The following is an 18,155-nucleotide window of genomic DNA, read 5'->3' as shown; positions in this document are numbered from 1 at the left end:
GGCAATCATCAAAAAGTCAGGAAACAACAGATGCTGGAGAGGATGTGGAGAAATAGAAACGCTTTTGCACTGTTGGTGGGAGTGTAAATTAGATCAACCATTGTGGAAGACAGTATGGCGATTCCTCAAGGATCTAGAACCAGAAATACCATTTGACCCAGCAATCCCATTATTGGGTATATACCCAAAGGATTATAAATCATTCTACTATAAAGACCCATGCACACATATGTTTATTGCAGCACTGTTCACAATAGCAAAGACTTGGAACCAACCCAAATGTCCATCAAAGATAGACTGGATAAAGAATATGTGGCACATATACACCATGGAATACTATGCAGCCATAAAAAAGCATGAGTTCATGTCCTTTGCAGGGACATAAATGAAGCCAGAAACCATCATTTTCAGCAAACTAACACAAGAACAGAAAACCAAACACCACATGTTCTCACTCATAGGTGGGAGTTGAACAATGAGAACACATGGCCACACAGAGGGGAACATCACACACCAGGGCCTGTCATGGGATAGGGGGCTAGGGGAGGGATAACATTAGGAGAAATACCTAATGTAGATGATGGGTTGATGGGTGCAGCAAACCACCATGGCATATGTATACCTATGTAACAAACCTGCACGTTCTGCACATGTATCCCAGAACTTAAAGTATAATGAAAAAAAATAATAAAACTTTAATGTTGCAGAGGGCTTCAAGGGTTTTAAATCACGTTTACATATAATTACTTTATTTTATGATTGCAATCACCTAGTACATAGGACAGGAGTTATTATCATTATTATACCAATGAGTAAACTACTCTGGGTTTAGTGATGTTTCATGTGTTGTTCAAGGACCTTTGACTAGTAAGTGACCTGGTTTTCTAACTTACAGTTCAGTATTTGTTCTTCTACACTGTGAATTTAATAACTGCCATTTTTTTTCAAAATTTCAAGATATAGATAGATGTCTCTAGGTAAGTTTCTATATCTATTTCTTATTTAAATTTCTATATGTAGTAATGTAGATAAGATTTATATGGAAATCTAGATACAGAAATCTAAATAAATTTTTATATGTGTGTGTATGTATAATATTTACTTTGAAATTTAGAATTTCCTTTGAAGTCAGGGAGTAGTGAGAGGATGACCTCTCTGCTCTGCCTACATGGAAAGCAACGCAGGAGGAAATAACTCTCCATCCTGGAAATACACAAAGCATGAGTCATCTATTTAATGTGATGGCAATGGTCTCTACCATCTGAGGTCACTTCTTGTACTTGGAGAAAGTTGGCAGAATAACTTCCAACCCAGAAGTCAGGAAGTTGGGCTATTGAAAGTTTTATTTAAATGACCTTTCTCTTTTGCAAATTCTGAATGTGAGGCTTCCTTCCAGTCCTACAGACCTCAGGCTATAAGTAAAATATAGTAAAAAGAGGAATAAAAATATCAATAAGAGTTGAGTAAATAATGGAAAGTTGATACCACAGTAGATGATGTCCAAAAGACAGAAAGCATAAAACATGAAAATGTCAAGTGAAATGAAGGCAAGATTTGTCTCACATGGTGTGAATTTCTAAAATCTCTCAGGAATAATTTTTATTACCTGCCAAATCTTAAGAAAGATTGAATTGTATTTGTCAATGCAACATCAATCGGGTCTTATACTTCGTTGTTGTATTTGGCACTTCAGTAAGGTACTTTTGCACAATTATGTCAACACACTGAGTTAGCCTTTGTCAAGAAAGGCAAGCACTTAAATTCTTGTCAGCCTATCATGTCATTAAAAAAAGGATCTAAGAGTCAAGAACAATAAGCAACTATTCTTGGCTTCATTAGTGCCTGTATTTTGGTATTTTCCTTTTGACACTCTTTCTCAGGCACATCTGGGCAAGTCTAGTTACATTAAGCCTAGTTTAAAGGAAACTGAAAATTCCACAGTGAAGTTCTCCACTTGACTGACAGATATTTCACTCTCAGGAAGAGTGGAAATTGAGTATGATTGTCTTTCACTTTGAGATGCGTTTGTAATACGAACAGGTGCATCCAAGCTAAGTTGGGGTTAGTAATGAATGGAAGAATCTGTAGTGACTGTTGGAACCAAAATTAATGTGAATAAAGCAGAGAGGCTGCCAGAGAGATGAGATCAAGTACAGATTAAGTACCACAAGTCTCATTAGTTGGTACCTAGGACAATAAATAGTAGATGGTTTAATTATGTTTTATAATGAAAGAAAGCATATATTGAGGAGGGACTGCAACATTAACTATTAATTAGATACATAAATGTTACTCTTCATTAGTTTGCATTTCTTAAAATAGATAAACACTCAGAGATCATGTTTAATTCTCTGCTGACTAATAACAATGTTAGAAATATGAATCATAAAAAAGTCAGTTCCTGGAAATAGCATACCTTTGTTTCTCATGCAATCAGTATTTTAAGTGGCTTCACTACAAAGATGAAAATAGTCTTAGCTATTTTTCGTTCTCAGTGTAATTAAGTATTTTCTGCAGTCAGAGATCCTAACTCCAAGACAGGGGAGTTAGGAGATGCCTTTTGGTGAGTCTTCAGAAAGAATCTTCAGGGACTAAGTCTACTGGAGAGGAATGATTTTATCTTTTGAAGATGGGGTTGAAAGTATGTCTCTATAAGAAATATCTTTGCAACTATTCATTAGAGACAAAATGCAAGAATGCAAATGGCTGCATTCTGTTCTAATTTTTTTATAATTATTATTTTTCTTTTCTTAAAGTAAACTTTGAGGACTTACAATAACAGGCATTTATGTATTTATCCTTACAAGAGTAGTTAACTACGTACCCCTGAAAAGATAGAAGAACTCCATGAGAATAGGGGCCCTCTATTGGTTTTGTTTATTTACGTAGACTCAGTTCTTATAACAATACCTGGAACTTAATAAAATCTCAATAAGTATTTGTGGAATAAATGAGTGTACTTAAACTGTGTATTTAAACTGGATTCCTGAATGTTAACATCTCTACAAGCCCTCTACACCATGTGAATGGTGAAAGATCCTTCTTCACAGGCTTTTGAGTTAGACAAGGCTGGGTTCTACTCTAAGCCAATCACAATGAACTGAGCCTCAGTTTCCTCTTACATAAAATGAGACTTACAATGCTCACTTTGCCTGGATGTACAGTAATCCTCTCCCTAACCCTTATCAGAAGAAAATATATTGCAGCATTCCCAGGGGATGCCTGAAACCATGGATAGACTCAAACCCCATATGTGCTGGGTTTTTTTCTCTACAGTAGCAGGCAGGTGGCACATACAGCATGGATACACTGGACAGAGGATTATTCACATTCCAGGTGGGAGATTTCATCACTCTACTCAGAATGGCAAGCAATTTAAAACATATGAATTGTTTACTTCTGGAATTGAATATTCCATTTAATATTTTGGGGCATTGTTGACTGCAGGTACCCGAAGCCTTGGAAAGCAAAGACGCAGATAACGGGTGGACTCCTCATGTAGATTGCAGAAAATGTGCACACCTGAACACAAAGTCCAGGAGAATATTTGATATATATTATAGGTGCAATAAATTGAGATTATTTCTACCATTTGTTACCTAGACCATTCTACTAATGTAAGTTTAAAATAAAATGTCAACCCAAAAACTAGTGCAACCTCTTATAACTGGAAAAAATTAACCTAGCAAGAACAAGCGATTTGTTGAAGGATCAAAAAGTCGTGCTTTCCAGGAGAGAGGGGGTCTGTATCAATTCCTACTGAAGAATTCGAGGTCAGAATTCACAGGATTAATCCTCTGTTTTTAATTGCACATTGATTTTGGTGTAATTCAATATATGTTTTCTTAGCCCTCACAAAGCTAATATGTAATCTCTTTTTAATACTAATCTTAACCTCTTATATTTTTTTCAGCTCCTGTACAAGCTAAATAAACTTAGAAACCCTACATGATGAATCAGTTCTTCAAATAATTATAACTTATATTAATTTAGATTATCACAGTATTAGTTGAACTGGATCAATTCAACTTTTTTTGTATATTTCACTTCCTTTATTTAGAGTTTAAGAGCTAAACAATACTTAGCAAAATACTTCTTCACCTTATCAAAACACTAGAAAACTCAGTCTGTGCCTAAGGTAAAGTGTGATACTGTTAGGTGGCATCCTGCCACTTTACAGAGGCCTCAGATCACACTATTCTTTTTAGAAAATTAAAATTATGCTGGATGGCTTGAAAACATCTGGAGAAGCCTTCTTAACTCCCAGCACTACAGTTTCTTCCTGCATCTGCTTTCACCACACCTCTTAACTACCTTCTCCACCATCACTTCATGCCTTATTCCTGCTTTTCTAATCACTTAAAATCCTGATCCAATAAGTATGGTTAGGCGTCTGAACCATTAGCGTATCCATCTACAGTCAACTGCAAGATGCAGCAGTGAGACACTCAGAGCAATGAAAACACAGGATCAAGAAGAGCAGATCTCCGCGTTCATCACATAGACTCAATAGGACTTGGCCAGACAACTGACTGAAGCTGCCTTATCTGTATATTGAGGGTGTTGAAAACACAGGCTGTAGAAATTCCTCAAGGTTATTCAGAGGTTTCAAGTCTGTGAAAACACGCTGTAACTATAAGTGCTCTACAAATATTGGTTGCTTTTAGGATTATTACAAGAGAATCTCTTGCCCCAGACTTACTTGCTGAGATAAAGTTGCAAGGCAATTGATAACCACTAAAGAGGTAAGCTACAACATCAGTAGGCTCAAGCACATTGAACTAAAGGGTCAAAATAGTTTGAAATATCCAAGATACCACAACAGATAAACAATACTCTGAACTGGGAACTAGGCACAGATTTTTAACTGAGGCTCGAACTCTCACTCTATACATGGGGAAAGTCACTTAGCAAATTAGCAATTAATTATGTATCCCATTACTGTACTAGGTATGCAACTCACATACATTATCTCTAATCTTAAAATATTATAGCAAGATAGGTATAATTATCTCTATTTTATAGGTGAGGACATGGAGACTTTGAGTGGCTTAGAGCATGACTAAGATTATAGATGTATGAAACAGTAGTTATCTTTCCAAAGTCCCTCCCTTCCCTACTCTATCATGTTACTGCTTTCTCCCTTAGTTGTCTGATCTGTGAATTCAATGGTCACTCCAAAGGTTTTCTTAGGTCCTCTTCAATTCTAACATGGTGATTGACTGCAGGTGATAAGTACTTGGCCAATTAGTGGCCTGCAGATGATCTACTGAAGTAGCTTGAAATAAATCAACCATGTACCTATGAATAGATTATAAGTGTCCCAAGATGTTGACACTCTTAGCCTTCAGACTTCTGGGTAGGAGCAAGGGGAAGCTGGAGCCCCTGGCTCTGTCACTATGTGTACCCTATTCCATTTACTCCAGTTTACTATGCAAGACAATTTTCAGCATGTTAGGACCAAAAGCCTCTGGGAAGTTCTGCAATAAATGCATCACATGGTTATATACAACACAAAAAGTGCTTTGTAGCTTGTATCTGTTGAATCCATATCACTCAGGCCATGTTGTGACTCTGGAAATGACTTGGTTTCCCCAGCAAAAACCCATAGCATAACTTATACATTCTCCAGCTTGTACAGTTGGAGCCACAAATAAACTGTAGAAGCAGAGAAATTGATTAAGCCAAGAAAACTAAACACAATTTTTGGAGCATAACCTAGGTAACTGTATTTACCTGAAAGTCTATTTAAACTAATAGTCTTGCTACATTTCAAGACTTTATTAGGGAAATCAGGACATATGTTGACCTTTCCCTGTGGGCCAAATCAGTCTTGAATTCTGATGCACAATATGAAATTCTCCTTAAATGATAGTAATCTTTTCTTTCCATTGATTCAGTAATTTTTAAAGCACATTGCATTGTAGAAACATGCAAAGTAGTTACCACTAAACACATCATTGACCTAGTTGATGTTTAAAAGGTTATCAAGCACGTACATCTTTGAAATATTAAGATTAGAGTTTCCTGGACAAATTATAAAGCTAGTACTTCCTCTTGGTTTGGAGGTCAGCTTCTATACTTCATAGCTAGAAACTGACCTTGACGCTCTTTGTGAAACAGAACTGTGGAAGTACAGTCCACTGTGGTTCCTACAGTAACCTTCTTTCCAGGCAGAGCCTTCTGGGGATGAGAAAGATGCTAAAGACCAAGGAGAATGAGTCAAAAACAAAGTATCCTGTGGGCAAAACCTCACCCATGCAATTAACTGAACCAGCCACTCCTTACTGGGACATGTGCCCTAAAAACCTGCTCTTCCAAGAAGCGAAATACTGCAAAGTTGCTGCAGCTGCACCCCACTGCTTCAGTCTAAGACCAGTAGATATGCTCACATTGCATGCAGAAGAAACAAGTCTCCACTCTTCTCTCTTCAGCCTTTTGCCAACCTATACTTGCTTTGGGAACAGTATGGCTTCACGTAAAAATTGCAGTTATTGAGGCTTGTTCATATGGAAAGTTAGGATAAAGGTGAGCATTTCTCTAATATAGAATAATAAAATTATTGGTTTTAACTTTGAGTCATCACATTCTTTATTAAATGCACATCATTATTTATGGTGTACTAATATTATTTTTATTTATTTATTTTTTTTATTTTTGAGACAGGCTGTCACTCTCTCACCCAGGCTGGAGTGCAGTGGTGTGATCTCAGCTCACTGGAGCATCGACCTTGCAGGCTCAAGCAATCCTCCCACAGCAGCCTCCTGAGTAGCTGGGACCACAGGCACATGCCACCACACCTGGTTAATTTTTTTTTCTTTTAGAGATGGGGTTTTACCATGTTGCCCAGGCTGGTCTCGAACTCCTGAGCTCAAGCGATCCACCCACCTTGGTATCTCAAAGTGCTGGAATTACAGGAATGAGCCACCACATCCAGCTAGTGTGCTAATATTAAAGAGTTTAAATCTGGATGCTACTATCTCTGTTGGATTTAGAAAACAAAACCAGTAATCCATACACATAACCACAAAACAGTTTTCTTTCTTCCTCAGAAGTCAAATTATCATTTCATTTTGCTTGTTGTGTTAAAAATGAGAAAGCTGATTGGGGACCAAAGTTTATTATCCTTTAGTACTTGTGCAAATTACAGAATGAAAATAAATTAACTATATAGAGGAATAAAAAGTATCTCTAATTGTGTTTATTTTTTATGTATAAATATTGATTTTTTTTAATGTAGACTGTAAGAGACTTTCAAATAAGAATACCAGATTTATAAAAACCTTAACTAGGGCTTTCTGGGACAGAACAGAAGAGTTTGCCCACCAACAGCCCTACAAACCAGAACGTCTGGAGGCCTCAGAGAAAGATAATACCACATCAAACAGGTGAGAGAAAGGATTAAATTTTTTAAAAAACATACTACATTAGTGAGGTGTTTATTTTGTTTTCTCTTTTCAAAAACAAAGAGATATACTGGGAATCTGACAAACTCTGAGGCTTGCTTGAATTCGTCCCTGATTGTGTAATGCTATCTCATGCTATAACCCTGAATGTGTCATGCTATCTCACACTATATCCCTGAAATGTCATGCAACATCATGCTATATCCCTGAATGTGTCATGCTATCTTATGCTATATCCCTGAATGTGTCATGCTATCTAATGCTATATCCTTGAATGTGTCATTCCACATCATGCTATGTCCCTCAAATGTGTCATGCTATCTCATGCTATATCCCTGAGTGTGTCATGCTATCTTATGCTATATCCCTGAATGTGTCATGCTATCCCATGCTATATCCCTGAATGTGTCATTCTACATCATGCTATATCCCTGAATGTGTCATGCTATCCCATGCTATATCCCTGAATGTGTCATGCTATCTCATGCTATATCCCTGAAATGTGTCATGTAACATCATGCTATATCCCTGAATGTGTCATGCTATCCCATGCCACATACTTGAATGTGTCATTCTACATCATGCTATGTCCGTGAAATGTCATGCTGTCTCATGCTATATCCCTGAATGTGTCATGCTGTCCCATGCTACATCCCTGAATGTGTCATGCTATCTCATGCCACATACTTGAATGTGTCATTCTACATCATGCTATGTCCCTGAAATGTGTCATGCTGTCTCATGCTATATCCCTGAATGTGTCATGTAACATCATGCTATATCCCTGAATGTGTCATGCTATCCCATGCCACATACTTGAATGTGTCATTCTACATCATGCTATATCCCTGATTGTGTCATGCTATCTCATGCTATATCCCTGAATGTGTCATGCTGTCCCATGCTATAACCCTGAATGTGTCATGCTATCTCATGCCATATACTTGAATGTGTCATTCTACATCATGCTATGTCCCTGGAATGTGTCATGCTGTCTCATGCTATATCCCTGAAATGCATCATGCAACATCATGCTATATCCCTGAATGTGTCATGCTATCTTATGCTATATCCCTGAATGTGTCATGCTACATCATGCTATATCCCTGATTGTGTCATGCTGTCTCATGCTATATCCCTGAATGTGTCATGTTATCTCATGCCACATACTTGAATGTGTCATTCTACATCATGCTATGTCCCTGAAATGTGTCATGCTGTCTCATGCTATATCCCTGAATGTGTCATGCTACATCATGCTATATCCCTGATTGTGTCATGCTATCTCATGCTATATCCCTGAATGTGTCATGCTGTCCCATGCTATAACCCTGAATGTGTCATGCTATCTCATGCCATATACTTGAATGTGTCATTCTACATCACGCTATGTCCCTGAAATGTGTCATGCCGTCTCATGCTATATCCCTGAAATGCATCATGCAACATCATGCTATATCCCTGAATGTGTCATGCTATCTCATGCTATATCGCTGAATGTGTCATGCTATCTCATACTATACCCCTGAATGTGTCATGCTATCTCATACTATACCCCTGAATGTGTCATGTTATTTCATGCTGTATCCCTGAATGTGTCATGCTACATCATGCTTACATCCTTTTCAACACCTGTTCCCTCTGTCCTAAGTGCTCAGCATTTCTCCTCATAACAAATTTAGAGTCATCATTTAAGGTCCAGTTCTGATGTAATCACCTCAAGGAAGTCACCTTAGGTAATGGTTGAGTTGATCCATGATAGCCATGACCATGACAATTCTAGTCCTCACACCATCTGGTTAAGGAAGTCCCTATTGCTAGACTTTTCCTTATGAGCAGAAACCAAGTTAGACATTGCTTTTCTTTTGCCCTGAGTTTTTCTTAGGATTAAACATAATGAATTAAACCACCTAGCACAAGATTATATGTTTTGTCTATACAAAATAAATGCTTTTGGTTGTTATTATTGTTATTATGATTAGGTTGCACAACCCGCAGAGAGCACAGCTAAAACTCAGCCAACACAGACACACTGGACTTGTGTGGCGGCACTCAAGGGTAGGTCACTCCTATGCACCCGGGCTCCCGGGTTCTTTATTCCCTCCCTTATGTTCCAATTATACCTTAACACACGGTGGATACTTTGTGGTGTGTGTCAGAGAGGTGGAGTGGTAGATTAATGAAGGAAAGTTTTCCATGCACTTAGTCATAACAACATAGAACCACATACTTTTGTTCTACTCTCACTGACTTTTGGTAGAATCTTATGTGTGTCTGGTATGTAAAACTTATGTTTGTGTGTGTGTGTGTTTTAATGACTAACATATGATAAATTGCAAATGAAATTATCACATTACCAGCTTGATCTATTTAAAAAATTTGGACACTGTTAATCTTTGTTCTTGTTTGTTCTTACTTGTTCTTAAACATAGGAGGCAATTTTATATATCAGATATTTTTACAAAAAGGAAATTGCATAAAAAGTGACCAACTGGGACAAATAATATGTCTGTTCTTCACAATATTTAATACCATAGGTATTTGGAAATGTCTAGATATTTAGAAATATCTAGATTTTTGTTAGCATATTACTGTAATAAACTAAAATCTACTCGTATATTTTTACACATATAAAATGTATGATTGTAAAGTGATACAATTGATTTCTCATGCTGTAGGCAAAATTTAGTCTTTATTCTACAGTCATATTAGCTGTATGCTTTTCTTTTCTAAGCTGTATGTCTCAGAGTTACAATGCATTAAACCAATCATAAATGCCAATGATGTGCAAAACAGTGTGTTTGATGATCTCAAGGAAAAAATAAATCCCCGATTTTTAGGAACTTATAGTTCAGTAATATATATGCCTTGTCTTTGTGTTTTTCTTGCTTTCCCTTATTTTTTGACAGCATATGAAATTTAACTAGCAATATTAGAGGCCTCTAGAATATAAAGCAGATTGACTCTCATTCTTTAAAGATTTCAAGCAGAATTATAACGGGGGTGTATATGGGTGTAAGAAAGTAACTTTTATAATTAAATATCATCTCCCTGGTAAACTAACATGTATTCAGCACTTTTATTTTATTTTATTTTGTTTATTTTATTTTTATTTTTCTGGAGACAGAGTCTCACTCTGTCACCCAGGCTGGAGTGCAGTGGCAGGATCTCGGCTCACTGCAACCTCCGCCTCCTGGGTTCAAGCGATTTTCCTGCCTCAGCATCCTGAATAGCTGGGATTACAGATGTGCACCACCATGCCTGGCTAATTTTTGTATTTTTAGTAGAGATGGGGTTTCACCATGTTGGCCAGGCTGGTCTCGAACTCCTGACCTCAAGTGATCCACCCACCTCAGCCTCCCAAAGTGCTGGGATTACAGGCGTGAGCCCAACACGTTTATTTTAACAAAGGTTACCATGATGCTTGCATTACCATGGTATCAGGGAAAGGTACTTGCTGTTTTAACTTCCAGTAGTGGGGCCCCATCCTGCATATGCACCCACTCCCCTGTTATTTTTAGTCACTGAGCAGCATTAGTTTTCTAATTAGTTTGGTCAATGGTATCCAGTATGTTCTGTAGCCCTTTGCAACACTCTTTTCAGAAAGTGAATGATTTTAGCTAGTAGAGTGCCCATAAATTCCACACAGCAAGAGAATTTTTACTAGAGTAAAATATTATAGATTTTCAGAGAATAAAGACCTATACATGAAAGTGTTAAATACTGTGTCTTAGTCTGCTAGGGTTGCCATAATAAAGTACCACAGACTGGGTGGCTTAATCCACAGAAATGTATTTTCTCACGGTTCTAGGGGCTAGAAGTCCAAGATCAAGGTGTCAGCAGGTTTGGTTTCTCCTAACGCTTCTCTCCTTGCAAATGACCAGCTTCTCACTCTGTCCTCACATGGCCTTTTCTCTGGGCAAGTGAATCTCTGGTGTTTCTTCCTCCTCTTACAATGACAGTTCATACTGAATTGGGGCTCTACCCTTAGGGCCTTCTGTAACCTAAATTCCCTCTTTGAAGGCCCTGTCTCCAAATACAGTCACAATGGGGATGGGGGCTTCAATACATGAATTTGGGAAGGGGGCTGTGGGAGATGAAATTTAGTACGTAACACTTTGAAAAAAGACATCTTCAATATCATAAATATAAGTAATCTCACTGAAAGAAACTCCTCTAAATATTTCTGAGCATTCCTTCCAAACCTCTGAGAAAGTAAATTAGGCAAAGTATACAGTACAGCTGTCATGGATTTTATTTTACATCTCAGGTTTAAAAAAATGCCACATTGGTTATTTTTCTAAATTATATTTAATCTGATCAACGGGGTGTGGAAAAATCAACTGTGGTTATTATTGGGGCTCCATCACCCCTCATCATCCAGGTCCAGTGTAGAGCCTGAAATTCGTATATGGCTGAGAACATTTGGGAGACCCCTGGTGTTTAGCCCTCACTGGTCATCATCATCACAGGTGGACTTTCCTAGTACGAGTCACATGATGGCTTCAGGGCTGAAAGGTGGGTGGAGGTTCTGCTGAGGTGGGAACCTAGCACCTTGGGTCCTACCTCCCTAGGAAGATAAGGGGGAGGAAGTCAGCAGAGATTTCTGCTACTCTTGGAGCCCCCAGACCACTGGCTTACCTCCCTCTCAGATTTAGCCAACAGTGTGGCTCCTTCCTCCGGCCTGGCCACTTCTGGTTCCCCTCATCATGTAGCCCTCTACCTGAGAATCTCTCCTCATTGGGGTTTAGAAATGCATGTTTCTCCTTATATCCATCATTTTTTTCTCACTATTACAAAAAATAAAAATAACAAAAGACCTGAACGGAGTTGCCTTGTAGGCTGACTTACTCAGTAGAGATGACAGCTGAAGTCTACACAGTCCAGGAAAATGAAATGTTCCACATCTGTCTCATCACAGCAACCAGGAGGAGAGCACAAATCCCTTCTAGCGGACAATGAGAGACATCATAAACTACAGAGATAAAGACATTGAATGAGTTGCATTACAGTCTCTTTCAATGTCTTTTAAGCTGTCTCTATTTTACTTTCCTCACCTGCCCTCCATTCTTAATTTCTTAGGAGTGTCAAAACGAACCTCAGTTTCATCACAGGAAGAGGAAGTCTGATATCAGGAGAGAGTAGATGAGAAGAAATGTGAATTTTGCCAACAACATATTCTTCCCCCTTTCATATGACTCTATTGTTCTAATTTTATCCAAAGCTCTACAAAACTATTCACTTCAGGAAATCTCAATAATCCAGTAGCCATTCTGGAGTCAAATAAATTCTGCAAATGTGTTGCTAAGAAATTGGATTGGGAAAATATAAATACATGAGTTAGATAAGCAGAGTAGAAAATGTTCTTTAGCTAAGACACCTGGTCAACATTTGTATTCCTTATATATCTTATTCCTGTTAGCTAGCTCTCAATGTTTGAACAAGATGGACAAGACTGATTACTGTGTTCTTTGATATTAGTCGGGACTTCTACATGCAGGATTGATTCTTATAATAAAAAGATACTTTGCATAATTATTTTCCATAAAATTGAATAAAATATAAATCAAATGTCATAATTTTTAAAAACTGTCATGTTAAAAGTGTTATCATTAAATTTCCCCACATCAAGATTCTTTTGTCAAAAACTTCTGTCATATTTTTAAAAGAAGTAAAGGATGAAATAATGTGATTACTGGAATTTGCTTCAAAATAATTCAGAGCTGGGACAGGAAGGGAATGAAAGGCAAGATGGAACAAGACTGACCATGGGATGTTAATTTTCAAGGCTTGTGATGAATACGTGTTGATTATATTACTCTCTCTATTTTTGTATATGTTTCAATTGTTCTACAATAGAAGTTGAAAATAAGTAAAACGTCAAAATTGAATTTAGGACTCCTTACAAGAAAATTAAGAATTAGGTGGGGGGGGGAGGGGTGCTGGCAAGATGGCCAAATAAGAACAGCTCTGGTCTGCATCTCCCAGCAAGCTCAACGCAGAAGGCAGTGATTTCTGCATTTCCAAATGAGGTACCCAGTTCATCTCATCAGGACTGATTGGAGAGTGGGTGCAGCACACAGAGGGTGAGCTGAAGCAGGGTGGGACGTTGCCTCACCCAGGAAGTGCTAGGGGTCGTGGAATTCCCTCTCCTAGCCAAGGGAAGTCGTTAGGGACTGTACCATGCACTCTGGCCCAGACACTGCACTTTTCCCATGGTCTTCCCAACCCGCAGACCAGGAGATTCCCTACAGTGCCTACATGACCAGGGCCCTGGGCTTCCTGCAAAAAACTGGGTGGCCATTTGGGCAGACACTGAGCTAGCCACAGAAGATTATTTTTCATACCCCAGTGGCGCCTGGAATGCCAGCGAGACAGAACCGTTCACTCCACTGGAAAAAGGGGGCTGAAGCCAGAGAGCCAAGAGGTCTGGCTCGGCGGGTCCCACCCCCACGAAACCGAGCAAGCTAAGATCCACTGTCTTGAAATTCTCACTGCCAGCACAGCAGTCTGAGCTCACCCAGAGGGGCATCTGCCATTACCGAGGCTTGAGTAGGTGGTTTTCCCCTCACAGTGTAAACAAAGATGCCGGGAAGTTCAAACTGGGAGGAGCCCACCAGAGCCCAGCAAGGCCACTGCGGCCAGACTGCCTCTCTAGATTTCCTCCTCTGTGGGCAGGGCATCTCTGAAAAAAAGGCAGCAGCCCTAGTCAGAGACTTATAGATAAAACCGCCACCTCCCTGGGACAGAGCACCTGGGAAGGGGCGGTTGTGGGTACAGCATCAGCAGACTTAAACGTCCCAGCCTGGCAGTTCTGAATAGAGCAGTAGATCTCTGAGCATACCATTCAAGCTCTGATAAGGGACAGACTGCCTCCTTAAGTGGGTCCCTGACCCCATGTATCCTGACTGGGAGGCACCTCCTAGTAGGGGCGACAGACATCTCACACAGGAGAGCTCTGGCTGGCATCTGGCGGGTGCCCCTCTGGGACGAAGCTTCTGGAGGAAGGAAGAGGCAGCAATCCTTGCTGTTCTGCAGCCTCCGCGGTGATACCCAGGCAAACAGGGTCTGGAGTGGACCTCCAGCAAACTCCAGCAGACCTGCAGCAGTGGGGCCTGACTGGTAGAAGGAAAACTAACTAACAGAAAGGAATAGTATCAAAATCAACAAAAAGAAAGTCCACTCAAAAACCCCACCCAAAGGTCACCGACTTGAAAGACCAAGTGCACGCGCCTGTAGATAAATCCACGAAGATGGGGAGAAACCAGCGCAAAAAGGCTGAAAATTCCAAAAACCAGAACACCTCTTCTCCTCCAAAGGATCACAACTCCTCGCCAGCAAGGGAAAAATCTGGACAGAGAATGAGTGTGACGAATTGACAGAAGTAGGCTTCAGAAGGTGGGTAATAACAACTCCTCCAAGCTAAAGGAGCATGTTCTAACTCAATGCAAGGAAGCTTAGAACCTTGAAAAAAGGTTAGACGAATTGCTAACTATAATAACCAGTTTAGAGAAGAACATAAATGACCTGATGGAGCTGAAAAACACCACACGAGAACTTTGTGAAGCATAAACAAGTATCAATAGCCAAATCAATCAAGCAGAAGAAAAAATATCAGAGACTGAAGATCAACTCAAAGGAATATAACAAGAAGAGAAGATTAGAGAAAAAGGAATGAAAAGGAATGAACAAAGCCTCCAGGAAATATGGGAGTATGTAAAAAGACCAAATCTACATTTCATTGGTGTAACTGAAAGTGATGGGGAGAATGGAACCAAGTTGGAAAACTCACTTCAAGATATTATCCAGGAGAACTTCCCCAACTTAGTAAGACAGGCCAACATTCATATTCACAAAATACAAAGAACACCACAAAGATACGCTTTGAGAAGAGCAACCCCAAGACACATAATCGTCAGATTCACCAAGGTGAAATGAAGGAAAAAATTTTAAGAGAGCCAGAGAGAAAGGGCAAGTTACCCATGAAGGGAAGCCCATCAGAATAACAGCAGATCTCTCTGCAGAAACCCTATAAGCCAGAAGAGAGTAGGGGACAGTGTTCAACATTCTTAACGGATTTTCAAGCCAGAATTTCATATCCAGCAAAACTAAGCTTCATAAGCAAAGGAGAAATAAAATCCTTCACAGGCCAGGCAGGGTGGCTCATGCTTGTAATCCCAGCACTTTGGGAGGCTGAGGTGGGCGGATCACGAGGTCAGGAGATAGAGATCATCCTGGCTAACACAGTGAAATCCCATCTCTACTAAAAATACAAAAAAAAAAATTAGCTGGGTGTGGTGGTGTGGTGGCACGCACCTGTAGTCCCAGCTACTTGGGAGGCTGAGGCAAGAGAATCGCTTGAACCCAGGAGGCGGAGGTTGCAGTGAGCCAAGATCATGCCACTGCACTCCAGCCTGGGTGACAGAGTGAGACGCTATCAAGAAAAAAAATCCTTTACAGAAAAGTAAATGCTGAGAGATTAAAAGAATAAAGAAGGAAGAGCAAACAAATTCAAAAGCTAGCAGAAGAGAAGAAATAACTAAGATCAGAGCAGAACTGAAAAAGATAGAGACACAAAATACCTTTCAAAAAATCAACGAATCCAGGAGCTGGTTTTTTTAAAGGTCAACAAAATAGACCATTAGCCAGACAAATAAAGAAGAAAAGAGAGAAGAATCACATAGATTCAACAAAAAATGATAAAGGGAATATCACCACCGATCCCATAAAAATACAAACCACCATCAGAGAATACTACAAACACCTCTATGCAAATAAACTAGAAAATCTAGAAGAAATGGACAAATTCCTGGACACATACACCCTGACAAGACTAAACCAGGAACAAGTCAAATCCCTGAATAGACCAATAACAAGTTCTGAAATTGAGGCAGCAATTAATAGCCTAACAACCAAAAAAAGTCCAGGACCAGACAGATTCACAGCCGATTTCTACCAGAGGTACAAGGAGGAGCTGGTATCATTCCTTCTGAAACTGTCCCAAACAACAGAAAAAGAGGGAATCCTCCCTAACTCATTTTATGAGGTCACCATCATCCTGCTACCAAAACCTGGCAGAGACACAACAAAAAAAGAAAACTTCAGGACAACATCCCTGATGAACATCGATGCGAAAAGCCTCAGTAAAATACTGGCAAACTGAATCCAGCACCACATCAGAAAGCTTATCCACCATGATCAAGTCGGCTTCATCCCTAGGATGCAAGCCTGGTTCAACATACGCAAATCAATAAACGTAATCCATCACATAAACCAAACCAATGACAAAAACCACATGATTATCTCAATAGATGCAGAAAAGGCCTTTGACAAAATTCAACAGCCCTTCATGCTAAAAACTCTCAATAAACTAGGTATTGATGGAACATATCTCAAAATAATGAGAGCTATTTATGACAAACCTACAGCCAATATCATACCGAATGGGCAAAAACTGGAAGCATTCCCTTTGAAAACTGGCACAAGACAAGGATGCCCTCTCTCGCCACTCCTATTCAACATCTGTAGTGGAAGTTCTGGCCAGGGCAATCAGGCAAGGGAAAGAAATAAATGGTATCAAATAGGAAAAGAGGAAGTCAAATTGTCACTGTTTGCAGATGACATGATTGTATATTTAGAAAACCCCATCGTTTCAGCCCAAAATCTCCTTAAGCCGATAAGCAACTTCAGCAAAGTCTGAGGATACAAAACAAATATGCAACAAACAAAGAGCCAAATCATGAGTGAACTCCCATTCACAGTTGCTACAAAGATAATAAAATACCTAGAAATACAACTTACAAGGGATGTGAAGGACCTTTTCAAGGAGAACTACAAACCACGCCTCAAGGAAATAAAAAAGGACACAAACAAATGGAAAAACATTCCATGCTCATGGATGGGAAAAAATCAATATTGTGAAAATGGCCATCCTGCCCAAAGTAATTTATAGATTCAATGCTATCCCCATCAACCTGCCATTGACTTTCTTCACAGAATTAGAAAAAAACTACTTTAAATTTCATATGGAACCAAAAAAGAGCCTGTATAGCCAAGACAATCCTAAGCAAAAAGAACAAAGCTGGAGGCATCATGCTACCTGTCTTCAAACTGTACCACAAAGCTACAGTAACCAAAACAGCATGGTACTGGTACCAAAACAGATATATAGATATCTGAACAGAACAGAACAGAGGCCTCAGAAATACCACCAGACATCTAGAATCATCTTATCTTTGACAAACCTGAAAAAAGCAAGCAATGGGGAAAGGATTCCCTATTTAATAAATGGTGTTGGGAAAACTGGCTAGCCATATGCAGAAAGCTGAAACTGGATCCCTTCTTCATACCTTACACAAAAATTAAGATGGATTAAAGACTTAAACCTAAGACTTAAAACCATAAAAACCCTAGAAGAAAACCTAGGCAATACCATTCAGGCAATACCATTCAGGCAATACCATTCAGGCCATAGGCATGGGCAAAGATTTCATGACCAAAACACCAAAAGCAATGAGAACAAAAGCCAAAATTGACAAATGGCATCTAATTAAACTAAAGAGCTTCTCCACAGCAAAAGAAACAATCATCAGAGTGAACAGGCAACCTACAGAATGGGAGAAAATGTTTGTAATCTATCCATCTGACAAAGAGCTAATATCCAGAATCTACAAAGAACTTAAATTTACAAGAAAAAAACAACCCCACTGAAAAGTTGGCAAAGGATATGAACAAATACTTCTCAAAAGA

The 18,155-nt window shown here is 39.2% G+C and overlaps 1 long non-coding RNA gene across 1 annotated transcript; it reads right to left on the bottom strand.

Moving 5' to 3' along the window:
* Positions 1–7,104: 7,104 nt before the first annotated feature.
* LOC124900798 (uncharacterized) lies at positions 7,105–13,479 on the bottom strand. The gene is made up of 2 exons (XR_007058327.1): positions 12,464–13,479; positions 7,105–12,354 (listed from the first exon to the last, which is right to left on the bottom strand). It is a non-coding gene; the product is annotated as an uncharacterized LOC124900798 (long non-coding RNA).
* Positions 13,480–18,155: the final 4,676 nt, after the last annotated feature.

This window comes from Homo sapiens, chromosome 4, assembly GCF_000001405.40.
Source record: "Homo sapiens chromosome 4, GRCh38.p14 Primary Assembly".
Lineage (NCBI taxonomy): Eukaryota > Metazoa > Chordata > Mammalia > Primates > Hominidae > Homo > Homo sapiens.
This window is presented reverse-complemented; position numbering and strand designations above follow the sequence as displayed.